The following is a 14357-nucleotide window of genomic DNA, read 5'->3' on the forward strand; positions in this document are numbered from 1 at the left end:
ACAAGTAATCAATATCTTTGCATCCTATTGTTTCAGTGTTCTAGTGGGTTGGCTAAATGGGCCAATTAGAATAACACAATGCAAATTTCCTGCTTGATATAAAAGTCTTTTTTAAACAGCTTCAGTTTATGCTAAATAATAAAAATAGTGAAAAGGAAATTTTCAAACTATATGATGAAGACTTCAAGAGCCTTACATTCCTTCCTTATTATTATTAGTTTTGTGACCATATGATGGACACTGTGATCTAAGTCCTAAATCCATTATGCCACATTCCGTAAATGTAGGCATATAAAGTATTCTGTCATCTGTAGTTATTTCAAACTGCATTCAATATCTTGGTTCCCAAGTGCATTGGATTTTATTAAAAGCATTCTGCTGTAACATCCATTCTTCCCAATTGGTTTACAGATTGCCCCTACCATTCAGGCAAACCCTAATTGCATTTTCCCACAAATCTCGTTTGATTTATGGTCTCTTGTTTGCTTTATATTATTTATAATAAATTGAGGTAAAATTCTTAAAACATGAAATAAAATTTATAATATTTTCTCTTCTACAAATATGGAACTTACCTAAGGATTTTCAGAGTCGTTTTGCTTGTTTTAAAAGTTGTTTAGACAAGCTACAACCATCTGCATGGTTTCCAATAATAAGTTCTTTATTACCATCCCAGAATTAATTATATTTCGCTTGATTTTTTTTATGTACAGATGTTTAGGATTATATGGAATAAATTATGTATAGAATATAAAAATGGTATGTCCTTCTATAAAGCTTAGGTGGTTACACATGTCATATGTACCTGGAACAGAAAAAAATATTATTTCAGCAGTAGTGACAAAGCATCTGCATAAAATTCAGTGCCACTGATGCACCGAGACAGCTAATTGAGAACATTCTTGCTTCTGTTACAAGTTCCGGCTTTTGAGATGCCAAGAGTTAGTTTAGAATGGATCTATAGCAGATCCCAAAAAGTATAAAGTGTTTAAAAATAAGTAAATAGCAGAAATATAAAGACAGAGGATACCAGAGACTTAAGAAGAGAATTTCTCACTGTCAAGTGATTACATATCACCATGGATTATTTTGTAAAGTTCTCTTCTAAATAAAGGCTTTCCATGGAAGTGCAGGCATGGAATCATTTCTGTAGGGTACATGAAAATTTATTGAAAGGAAGAAGTATAAGTTATCTATATCGATTTATGAATAGCCTTCTAAGCTTTGTTAGAAATGTGTCTATTCAGTCAAAAGTTTGAACATTAAGAATTTTGAGCTGAGAATCAGAAAGATTGGAGTATATTCAGTATAAGAGACAAAAAGAAAAGAGAAATTGATTTTTTGAGAAGTGCAAAGACAAAAGGGGGAAAGATGGATGATCTCAACAAATTTTAGACCAACTCAGTAAGTGGGAGGCTTATTATCAACAGTAAAAATAACTATGTGACTTCTAGAAAAACTCAGAAAGGGTGGTTAGTGGATGATTAGCAAACAAAATATCTAAATAATGGTTGTAGTTGAGTTTCTTAAATGGGGCTTTGGGACTTTCCTCTTCACTAGAATAGTAAAGAGGCCCCAACATCTGCAGTGCCAGTGGAGACCTCACGAGGAGCTTGGGCTTGTTCCCCACTTAGTGACGAAAGAGTTGTCTCCTTCCCATTGGAGTTAAGTCAGAGGACTGCCTAGAGAGTCAGGAATTTCACCACTGCCCAGGGTAATGAGGCCACACTGTTTATGATGTCAGTGTGGACAATGGGGGAGCAGTAATGAGTCACTCCTGCCCCTTCCAGCCAGGAGGGCATCAGTGGAGGCCTAGTGGGTTCTGGAATCTCCATCCCCACCCAGTATTAATAAGGCACTCCCTCCTCTGGGGTCACCCAGTATTAATGAAGCATTCTCTCCTCTGGGGTCAGCAGACGCCAAGTAGAGTAATGAGACCTCTACCCCAACTTGGCAGTAATAAGGTAGCACCCTTCCCCCAACCTTTGCCAGAGAAATGTCAGAATAAGCAAGCTAAAACGGAAGCTTTAAGATCTCATAATATAATGTATCAAACATACTGGTTTCACAAGAAAATCAGTAATGACACCAAGAATCAGGAAGATCTCAGAGTGAATGTAAAAATATAATCAACAGGTGCCAACAACAAGATAACAGAAATGTTAGAAATGTCTAGGGAAGAATTTTAAATTAGTTACTTCCAAAAATGCTTTTATGAATATTATGACACCCTTGAGACAATGAAAGAGTGGAAAGTCTCAGAAAAGAAATAGACGATATAAAGATGAACCAAATAGAAATTGTAGAACTGAAAATACAACTCAAATTAAATAAAAGCATATTTGGGCTCAACAGCAGAATGCAGTAGGCAGAAGGAAGAATCCACAAACTTGAAGATAGAGCAGTAGAAGTTACCCAATATGAACGACAGAGAAAACAGGCTGGAAAAAGAAAAAGTTTCAGGGATCTGTGGCACTGTAACAAAAGATCTAACATTAATGTCATTGGAGTCTACAAGGAAAGGAAAAAGAAGCCAGGCCAAAGAAGTACTCAAAGAAATAATGACTGAAAACTTTCTAAATTTGGCAAGAGACATGAACCTACAGATTCACAAAGTTGAACAAACTTCAAACAGGATAAAAAGCAAAGAAATGCATGCAAAGGCACATCGTAATTAAACTTCTGAAAATTAAAGACAGAGAAAAATCGTGGCATAACTAAAAAAAAGTGGCACCTTATAAATAAGGGAAAGCAATGTGAATGAGAGTGGATTTATCATCCAAAGCCTTGAAGGGTAGATGGAAGTGGCACACTATTTTTCAAGTGCTAAAAGATAGAACCATGAACCTTAAATCCTACATCCAGTTAAAATGTAGTTTTGGAAATGCAGAAGAAATCAATAAAATTGGCCAACTTCTAGTAAGACAGACAAAGGAGAAACCGAAGACACAAATTACCAAATATCAGAAATGAAGAATGGATATCTTGAGAGACCCTCCAGACATCAGAAGGATAATACAGAAAAAACACAAGCAATTCTACACTTGTAAGTTTAACTACTTAAATAAAACGGGCCAATTCCTCAGAAAATACATGTTACTGCAAGTCATCCAATAGGAAGCAGATTCTTTGAGTAGCTCTATAACTTTAAAGGCTATTACATTTGTAATAGAAAACTCCATATCAAAAGGTGACAGAATAAAAATCACAGAAGCATATTGACTGACGCAGAAAAAAATTGAAAAAATTGAACATTTAGTTATAATGAAAAACTATCAGAAAAATAAGAATAGAGGGGGAAAGGTCATCAACTTGTTAAAGAGCATCTACAAAAAATTTTGCAACTTTATTCATAATAGCCAAACCCAGGAAGTAATCCATATGACCTTTAAAGGTGGATGGGTAGACAAACTGATGTATCCATGCCATGGAATACCATTCACCATTAAACAGCAATGAACTGTTGATATAGGTTGACAACCCCTTATCTGAAATGCTTGGGATTCAAAGTGTTTTGGATTTTTGATTTTTTCAGCTCCAATAAGCATTTCCTGTGAACAACCATGTCAGCGCTCAAAAAGTTTCAGATTTTGGAGCTTTTCAGATTTTGATACTCAATCTGTACACACAACAACTTATATGATTCTACAGAGATTTATGTGGAGTGAAAAAGGCCAATTCCAAAGGGTTACATGTTGTATGATTCTTGAAATAACAAAATTATAGAAATGAAGAGGACATAGTTGTTGCTAGGGGACGAAGGTTAAGGGGAAGAAAGAGTGTGGCTGTATAAGGGCAAATTGAGGGAACTTTGTGGTGGTAGAAATGTTCTTGTCTGTATCAATGTCAATAACCTATTGTGATATAGTATCACAGTTTGTAGGATATTCCCATTCGGGAAAGCAACTAAAGGCTATGTGTGTTCTCTGTGTGTTATTTCTTACAACTGCATATGGATCTATGATTATCTTAACAAAAAGTTAAACAAGAAAAATAAAATAAAATAAATGAGGCTTTTGCTGACCAGTAATCAGTGTTCTACAATAACAATACACACACACATGCACATACATATTTGCACTATACACTGGCACTATTGCACATAATTTACTATAAATATTTGTTCACACATTTATGCTCATTTAACTTGGTCAAATTTTCTTTCTTTAGATTGTATTATATCACTTTTTTGAGGGTGTTAAAATGGTGCCATATTGGTAGATGTTACCATCTACCTTTTCTAAAAAAAAATAACTTTTTGGCAACATAAAAATTTGTCAATCATTTATCATTTCCAAAAAATGTGATTCAAGATTTACTCCTCCATGAATTTCAGAAGTCCAGGAATCACAGTTCTACAGTTTCCATGATAGTAATATAGCTAAAACTGTTCTTTTTATGTAGCCTCCAGCTTAAAGAGCTGAACAAAATAGTTGTTAAATACATGTGGTTATTTGATAATTGAATGAATTTGACTGAAAATGGTGGCTATTAATTCTAATTCCAGAACAAATTCCTAATCTTCAATAAGTAAAAGGAAATCTTCCTTCCTACTGGTAATACCCAATGCTGCCTCAATTACTCATATAATCATATACTGGGAGTAATGTGCTATGTAGTGGAGTAAATTCTAAACTCTAATAAATGTGTGTTACCTCACTCTTCAACTCCACTTCAGCATTTAATCATTGTAATAAGGTATTTCTTAATACCACACTTAATTTCAAATATAATCCTTTTATATATGTATTAGATACAATGTATTTTTCATATCTAATATGTGTATTGTATGTTTATTTATTGTATGTTATTTAGATATGTTAATATATTCATTAAAATTGGAGTTTTTAACAAAAATATTACAAATTAACATATAAAATAACTAAAAATATTAGGTTATATTATTTTGTCTATAGTTAGTATTAGCAAAGTAATAATGAATTTATTAAGCTAATATATAAAATGACTAGTATTTACCTTTTTTCAGTAAGCAGGGAAAAATAATCGTGTTTAGACTATATGTAAGGAACAGAATAGTACATTTATTTTCTAAATAGTTTACTTACTACTTTCAATTTTGTAATCTAATGAATTAGTTCCAATGTAAATACAGATTTAAAAGATGTATTCATTGTAAATAACTCTATAGGGAATATTTCTTCTTCAATGAAAATTTCAGTTTTGGAGATGGAAGTTTCTCATCAGTTCTAATTTCTCACCTATTCTAATGTTACTTTCTTGTGAATTCATGTTACCAAATGTATGCTGTACACACACATAGTAGGCCACCTTTTTCTCTTTCTACACTAATTTATTATTAGTTTTATATCATTTTAGTAGTTTTATTGTTAATATTCATAATGTGAGAACATATTCCACTATTTTCCATATATATAGAAAGATTGAAATGTTTTAAATTACTTCAGTATTCCATAAAGTATATCAGACCCAAGATTAGAATTTATAAGTATTTGAAATTGTAAAAGTTTTAACATTCTAAGCGTAAGACACCTCTATTAAAATGTTTTTCACAAACATAATATCAGTTTTCTCTTCCCTCTAAAGTGATATTTTAAGAGACATTTTCTAGGAATGCTTTCTAAAGTAGCTTGAAATAAAGTAGACTTTTAATAGTGATTATAAAATAATTTTCTTTCCCAGGTGTTTGTATTAACAGATTTCTGTTGTCCCTTATTTGATAATGTGTTTTTATCTTCCAACATATTTATACAAACTGAAATCTTTAAAAACAGAAAGTTCTTTTATTATGAATTTTTTTAGTATGTCTTAAAACCTGATCCCTATTTTTTTTTTTCCAATTAAGGTGAGAGGCCCTCCAGCTGCAGGGGCATTTAAAGAAAGACCAACCAAGCCCACAGCATTTCGAAAATTCTATGAGCGAGGTGACTTCCCAATTGCCCTTGAGCATGATTCGAAAGGAAACAAAATCGCCTGGAAGGTAAGTCAGGGCACAGCTGTGCCGGCCAGCTGCACCCGCTGAAGTGACATCTCCCAATGCCAAACACACTTGGCTGCTTAAGTAAATAAACTGGAGTCATTTCTCAGCACATGGAAGATGGTGGGAAAGCTCTTAGAGAAAGCCCCCCTGTGTCAGCCATCCACCTTGACTAACAATTAAATTATAGCCTGCAAAGAAGAAAATGACAGAGTTGCTTTGCCTTAGAGAGTTGTCTGCTGCCCAATTCATCTCTATTTTTATGAGAACCTGGCAGCCCGGCCTGTTTCAGGCAGTCCATCAAATGATGGAACTGGTGGCTGGATACGGAGAGCAACAGCCATTTATCTCCCCCAGATTTCACCTTCCTGCAGGACACTTCCAAATGGAAGCTTTAATTACCTAAATGGATAGGTCAAGATTGTCTGCTCCCTGGAAATGCAGAGTAGAATACAAAAGCAGGCCGATCCCAATCCTGGCTCTCCTCTCCGTCCCCGCCTGTGTCAGCAAGCGCGATGGCTGTCACACGTGCCCTGTTAGAGGCTGACCTCCACCGCCAAAGCCATTACAGCACGGACATTTTTCTGACAAAAGGTTAATTGGCTTCAAAATAAATGTATTGCCTAATGACTCCATTCTAATGTGGTTGTGTTCCTTTGTAAAAGGCTCACTGATGTTATTTGTAAAAACTTGCCAATCTCTTAACCGGAGAAGGCTTTTACATTTAATCTGAGAAAAATAAATGCTGGTCTCTAACCAGCTTCTGCTATTTAATTATTGTTGTTATCAAAGACTTTGCTTTTGGTGATATTTATCAACTAAAAGGGCTTCTCTGCCTACAGACAGCAAAGCAGTTGTGCACACTTATGAGTATCACATCAGGTTAAGGACAAGAAAAGGTTTTGGCCAACTATTAGTTAAATTAAGCAATTGACACATTTAACTGGGAAGTCCAGCAGTCGTGACCAAAAGCAAATCAGGAATTGTTTTTAATTAGTAACAAATAAATTTATGTTAAAAATAAAAGTACAAATCAGAGAAATCAAAGTAAATAGCTTAAAAAGGTGCATTAAAATTAAATTTTTCCTTCCTGTATAGACACATTGAAAGGATTATTGCATTATATCTAGTATGTCTTTTGAAATATTTTCATATTGTTATCAAACATTTCTAATTCTTGAGCAGTCATCCAATATCAGTTATTGAACTTAGAATTATTCCAACTTATATTACAAGAGGAACTTGGTAGTATCCTTATTAGGAAACCTTACTATAAAATTTTGGGGGGGTGGGAAAGAGGTGAGTAACATTATTATCTCCTTTATAATAGTGTCTGTTAGAATGTGAACTTGTTATGTGAAAATGTACGTATGATGAGAAAAAATTTATAGCGTGTATAACTAACTTTCATACTTTAGTCTTAATATAAGCATATATTTCCAAAGTTTTGTTTGGATTTTTGGATTCATATATTTGATTGGTTGCATGGATTTTGTGTTTGCCTGTCTATGTACTGGCTCATAGATATGTACTGGCTCCAAGATAATACAATGGAGTTTCTTCAAAACCTGATTCCTGTTGAGTAAAATAATATGTCATAATTCTTTATAAAAAGGGAGTGGCTTTTGGTGTTTTAGGTAATTATAACCTACACATAAATTGTATTAATGAAAATAAATTATATAGATTTACTATGATTCAAATAATTTTATGAGCAACCTTTAGAAGTGTAGAGACTAGAAAAAATCATTTTGAAAATAAATTATTAATAAAAATATGAGATGAATCATTTTCTTTATCTTTGATAATCCAACAGTCAGCAGGGATATAAAATGCTTTTCTTTTTTATGGATATATTAATTCTCTTAAGCTACTATTGATTATAGTACTGATTCAGCAAGCTAAAAAGTAATAAAAAGAAGAAACAATTTCTTTGCTGTCACTGGTAGTATAATAGCATAAATTTAGGAAAACATCTTATTCCGGAAGCTGTGGACTTCTTTTAGACAGTAGCTACTACATTTTAATTGCATTACTGTAACACTGAAGATAAGACATTAAGATTATTTTTTATTTTATTTATTTATTTTTTGAGACGGAGTCTCGCTCTGTCCCCCAGGCTAGAGCGCAGTGACACGATCTTGGCTCACTGCAACCTCCGCCTCCTGGGTTCACGCCATTCTCCTGCCTCAGCCTCCCGAGTAGCTGGGACTACAGGCTCCCGCCACCACGCCCGGCTAATTTTTTGTATTTTTAGTAGAGACGGGGTTTCACTGTGTTAGCCAGGATGGTCTCGATCTCCTGACCTCGTGATCCGCCTGTCTCAGCTTCCCAAAGTGCTGGGATTACAGGCGTGAGCCACCGCGCCCAGCCAAGACATTAAGATTGTTAAACATAGGCTTGGGAACCATCTGTCCATAGTTTCATATTTATTTCGTGGCACATTTGATGAAAGGACAATCTGGTGCTAAGTAGGAGGAGGGACTTGTTTTAGGATGCCATTCTTAAGGAAGAACTCTTGAGTGTTGAAGGAAGCAGGGCGATCCGTCCCCCACAAAAAACTAAAAGCAAGAGGCCAAGACCCTGCACTCTTCTCTTGTGTGTGGGCAGAGCACCGGTTTCTGGTCATGCAAACCTCTGGTCTCAATGTCATAGCTCATCCCTCACTGAGGACTGCTGAGGAGCAGTGCTTCCCTCCGAGGATACCGGCCCTCTCTCAACTCTCCTCAGACACCCTAGAGACTCCAAGTGGACTTGTGAGCACCTGAAATGATGCACATAACTAAGTGAGAAGCAGGTCTGTTGCTTTTATCAGTGTTTCCAGAGCCTGTGGCTCCGAAGGACTTAGGATGCACTGGCTGTAAACCCCGGCACAGGCTGCCCCAGCCTCTCACGGTCATTCCAGTCTGTGAATGTGCTGGTCTGGGGATCCCTCCCCAGGTCCTCAGACTCCTCTTCTATTTGTTCTGGATTAGCTGACCTGATCTTCACCAGGTTAGGAACCATTGTGTGTTCTTGAAATAACAAAGGCACTCTATGGTAACATCAGAAAGTAGAAGCAAGAGTTAGAGACAGACAGATGTCTTTGCATGCTTAGGTTTCTCAGCCCACGCCCTGCTCTCAGTACCAGTTTCATGCACATGGAAGTGGTCATTAGTTCCAGATGCCAAAACAACGTGGCAGGCTGCGTGTCATCGTCTCTGCAGCTTCGTCTCTTTCTTGTGGCATCTCTGAAGATTGCAGCAGTGTCTGATCCAACAGTCTGCAGTGGTGGAAATGTTCTACATCTGCACCGTCTAATATGGTACAATTGGCCATATGTGGTGATTAAGCACTTGAAATGTGCCTACGGAGACTGAGGAACTCAATTTTTAATTTTATTTAATTTTAATTAATTTTAATTTAAATAGCCACGTGGTTACCATATTAGACCATGCAGCTACAGATTAAGATAATGGCAGTCAAAAATAAATGCCTGAATCTGCTACCCAGATAGATAGAAGGCTATCACTGTGTTAGAATTTTTATTATTAAAGTGAAAAAACGGGACTCATCTGTGGATTTTTTGTCATGGTTTTCTATGCATATCATAAATTTATTAGTAAATGTGAGAAACGTTTTGCAAAATGTTTGTAGTGAAAATTTCTATATACTTATCAATGGCAAGTTCATGAGCTATGAAAGTTGAATAAATCTCATCTCGAATATGAAATCTACCGGCAAGCCCAGGAATAGCTTTTTTTTTAATTTTTAAATATGCATTTTCTAAATATCACTAAAGAATTCTTGATTATCAATGGTTGTAGTTATAAAAAAGCATAAGGAATACTTAAACAAAAAAAATGTTAATCTGTTTCTTTTGCTACATTTTCCTTGACCCCTCTAACATTTGGGAAATACGACTGTTGATTCTTTTGCTGTCTTCAATATCCACATTATTGGCAACAAGTGAGAAAAGAGCTAAGCTGTCTGGATAAGTTACAAAGCAGATAATCAGATGAACGATGGAATTTTAAAAATTGTGTTTGAGTTTTCTCATCTTAAATTGCCATCCTTTAATTTTCTGTCCTTCTGTAATATAAATCGCACACTTCTAATGATGGTGATCGGGGTGGGGACGGGGCTCTTTGTAAAGGTTTTCCATATGGGCACCTGGGGAGGGAAGAAATGCTATATGAATTGGTAAAATACATGGCCCATTGTCTCTACCTCTGCTGTGTAAATAAAGAGCGAAGAGAAGCATACAAGTGGTTTTGAAACGGTCTCTTCAATAGAGACCTCGAGAGAAAGAGATGAAGATAAATACCTGAGGCACTGTTAATTTTTAGAAATAACTATATCATATTATAAACCATTCATTTATTTTGAAGATGGAAACAGCTACACCTACATAAAGGTGTCTCTAAAATCTTTCACTTTCTAGGCATTTTGATGTAGTAGATATTGATACAGGTCATCTTTCTCCATGATAACGTGCTACGTGACAGAATATGACATGCACTAAGACGGTCTTGTTTTCCACTAAATTTCTAATAACCAGGCGTAAGAATGTCCCAGGTATCAGAGATATTTGAATAGGACGTAGATAAACCTGTAATCCTCTAGGAAAATCAGGATAGAATACCACCCTTTTATGCATGCAACAAAATCACAAACCTCTCAAATTTGAAAGGGAGAAACTCAAAATGGACTTGTATTTTGTCCAAAATCCTTCCCCACTGCCCGCACAGCACCCGATCAACCCACACCCGGCAATGTCATGATGGTCCTTGTCCAGAGTAGCAGACATGCCAGAGGCCTTTCTGCGTTCTTGTTTTTTCTTCTTTGACACGTAAATGATATTCCATAGCCACCTATATTGAAATGAATAAAACCAGAACTGATACATATGAGCAGGTATATGTGAGAATGGACTTAGGTGGCCTCTACTCACTGCCAAAAATGTATCTTCCTCACTGCCCTATTAGAGAATATGAAATCTCACCATGGAGGCAAATTTCCCCTTAGGTTAATATAGTAATTTTACCTGTTGATTAAAATTTAGATCTCCAGACTTTGTTTTGTATTAAAAAATGACTTATTAATCAGGTAACTATACACATTTAATACTTTTTATAAATAAATGTTGACATACATATGTCATTTATATATTTATACCCCACATTATTTCAAAACGGATTTAAATTGTCTTACAAAAAAACTATAAAGTCAGCAAAAATAAGAGATGAGAGAAATGAAAACCATAGGGACCCAAAATGGATCCAGTAACAATGTTAGTAAAAACAGGCATATCCTGAAATCCTATAAGGCGAGATCTTTGTCTGTATTTCTGGTTTATTCACTCACTTTCCTGGTACCTAGAACAGTACTGTCACAGGGCAGGTGCCCAGGGATATTTGTTGAATGCAAGTAAAGCATACAGGAGCTGATTGTTTTTAAGTTTTATTTCTCTTGCTTCGTAGGCCTCACTTTCCTTATCTGTAAGTGACAACAATATACCAGGTGATTTCTATGGCCCTTTTAAATTATGAGCATTCAAATAAGTTTTGTTTCATAATTATTAAAATAATTGTATTTTGATATGTTGGTGGAATACTTCAAAGAACAAATATTGAGTACAAATTTGCCACAGAGATCAATTCTTCTGGTAGCAAAATGGAAATATTAGCAGCAGCACATTTAATTTGAATCCATAGCACTTTAGGTTCCAGAATGATATGCAACGGTCTTGAGGGGGTTGAACTTTTACCAGGAGGATGCTCTTTAGGTTATACACGAATGCTTTCCAATGACTACTCATCCCTTAAAGTTTGCTTTCAAAATGACAAATTCGCTTCCCTTTCTAAAGGACTGAAAATATATGTTGCACTTGAACACCCAAGTAAAGGAAATGCTGTGAATAAATTAATTAGATGCATAAATCAGCCTTTATAATTTCCACTGATGGTGTCTCAGACAACACCTTTAATTATGTGTTGACTGACAATTCCATTCAGTATTTCTTCTCTGGCATTTTCTCCTTTTTTTCTAGTTCTTTTTATTTCTCAGCAGCATTGGTATTCAGGAACTATAAAAATCTCTGTCAATGTGACTGTTTTCATTGACATAACTGATAATTTCCTAGTAGGAAAAACAGTTATTGCATATAATTATTATAAAAATATGCACACATTTTCTTACAATTAAAATCAGCCCAACTGAGGATAGCTCATTATCTGTAAATATTACTGCATTTTAAAGTAAATCACACTGTGATGTGATACTCGATCCATTTGCTATCAGAATATTCACAAGATTCCGTAATTTTGAGTTATAATTTAGTCCCTTGGTACCTTCAATTTCTTAATGTTTCAATTTCTTAAGGATTTTAAAAAAATAATGCTATATCTGTTGCCCCTAAGGTAAAACTGATATTGACTTTTGAAATCTTGTAGGCAAATTTATTTGAGCTGAATAATTTGTTTCACATCAAGGAGAATGAATGTTCTCTTGGAATTGTCCTGGGTTTCTATTTCTTTTGATAACTGCCAAAGCTTGAGTTTGGATAATAGGACTTAGTAGAATTTGCAAGGCAAATTTTACAAGAGAAGTGACAATTTACCTGATTTTTGTACAAGAGATCTGCCACGTTCCCACAATTATTTCCTTTGTGATTAATTAATAGACAGAGCTTATTCCAGAAGTTTTGAAAAAAAAAATCCTCTGGCAATGAGTGTACTATTCTTAATGCCATTCTTTTATTTGATGTAAATTGTTACATCTTAAAAGTGTATAGCATGAAAATACAGCCATGTATTAGAAATAACTTTTATTTAAATTGGTTAGATGACCTCTGAAAACCAGATGAAAGATTTTCTGCTGAATGGGCTGGTGCTCCCTGCTGCCTATATAATTTATGTGAGAAATTAGTGCAAATGGTTCACTTTTATGTAGCAGAGCTGCTTGTAGCAAGCCTGCAGAAACAATTTTCCCCCAAGCCTCCATCTGTTCTTCAAACTAGGGCATACGCCATCTCATCGAGCTTGAAAGTCAACTGATTTATAACTCCTGGAAAGTGTATAGATTGAAAAGAAAGGTCGACTGCTGCTCTGTGACAGTGATTTGTTTGGCATTGGCTAAAGACAATTCACATTACCAGGGACCCAAGGGAAACAAGAAATGTTGTAAGTTTCAGATCTCAGTAGACTGACAACTAGAAGAAAAACAAATCACTCCTGCTTTTTAAGTCAGACGACCACCAGGGTTGAAAAGTAGGTCTTGGTAGTGTTAAGGGTGCCAAAGCTAAGCTGCCACCCATATTGTCACTTAGCACCTCATGAAGAAATGTGTCACTGCCCACCCTCTCAGTGGTAAATGTTGACGTTGTAGAAGTATCAATACTCTAATTTTTAAACACAAAATATGTGTCACTGCTTGTCAGAATGTTCTGTTTGGAGACACAAATTGGTCTTTGATGAATTTTCTGTATCTACCCAAGGATAATCTCCAGTTGTATTCCAATTAGTAATTTAATGAACAGTTCGCTCCTGTCTTATCACTCGTCACACGTCTCTTCTCTTTACTGAAGCACTATTGAGATCAAAAGTCCTTTGACAGATGACAAATGGAATCAGATTGGCAGTATGCTTGTAAACAACAACAAGAAAATCATTCTTTGTTTGATGTTTTCCTTTGAGTAGTCAAAGTATCATCCTCCCAGATAACAACTTTTAGTCTATTGAAGTTTTTGTTGTCTTTTTTCTACATGTATGTATGTTTTTTATTTTGTCGAAACTGTGTTTCACATGATAATTTTTAAGGAACTCAAAGGAACATTCATGGTCCTAATTAAGACAGGAGATTGATAGTGGACATACTGCCACAGGAATTCTAATAGTTTTTTCCAGTTTAATGACAACGAAAAAGACAATCATCTTTTAATGTGCAGGTTTAAGTTTTCAGCGGTCATTACTAAGACCTTTGGAAAGGAGATACCCAAACATGTTTCTATGCAAAGCTCCATGTTAGCAGGGATGCACATACATGGCTTTTCCTGTAGTAATTCTCATGGTATGGTGCCCAACCACGTAAGCAGGCTTGCCTTTGTGAGCATGTCATTACCATGTTTTTGAAGAGCAGAGTAACTACTATTTTCACAAAGTTCATTATGTATGAAGCACATTTCTTGCTATTGGGAAAAGTATAGAAATGGACAGAGTTGACAGAATCATTTTAAAGCCAACCTCTGCCCCTACTCTAAGAGACTGTCTTTACAACAAATACTCCTACAGAATTTCCAAGATTGGGTTCTAATCTGAGTAAAAGAAAACCCATCAACCTTTGTAGCCATAAATTCTCAAATTTTGAGTTCTTATTTAGATTGATCTCTCTCTGTTCATTCATAGTTTTAAGCACTTAAAAA

The 14357-nt window shown here is 35.3% G+C and overlaps 1 protein-coding gene across 20 annotated transcripts in view; it reads left to right on the forward strand.

The window, feature by feature from the left end:
• Window positions 1-14357, forward strand: part of PACRG (parkin coregulated) — a 588369-nt gene that overhangs the window by 81191 nt on the left and 492821 nt on the right. For all 20 annotated transcript variants that reach the window (NM_152410.3, NM_001080378.2, XM_017010277.3 and 17 more), the window contains one exon: window positions 5825-5959. In NM_152410.3, the coding sequence (NP_689623.2) occupies window positions 5825-5959 (135 nt within the window). The remainder of the gene's footprint in view (window positions 1-5824; window positions 5960-14357) is intronic.

The sequence above is a fragment of the Homo sapiens genome, chromosome 6, assembly GCF_000001405.40.
Source record: "Homo sapiens chromosome 6, GRCh38.p14 Primary Assembly".
NCBI lineage: Eukaryota > Metazoa > Chordata > Mammalia > Primates > Hominidae > Homo > Homo sapiens.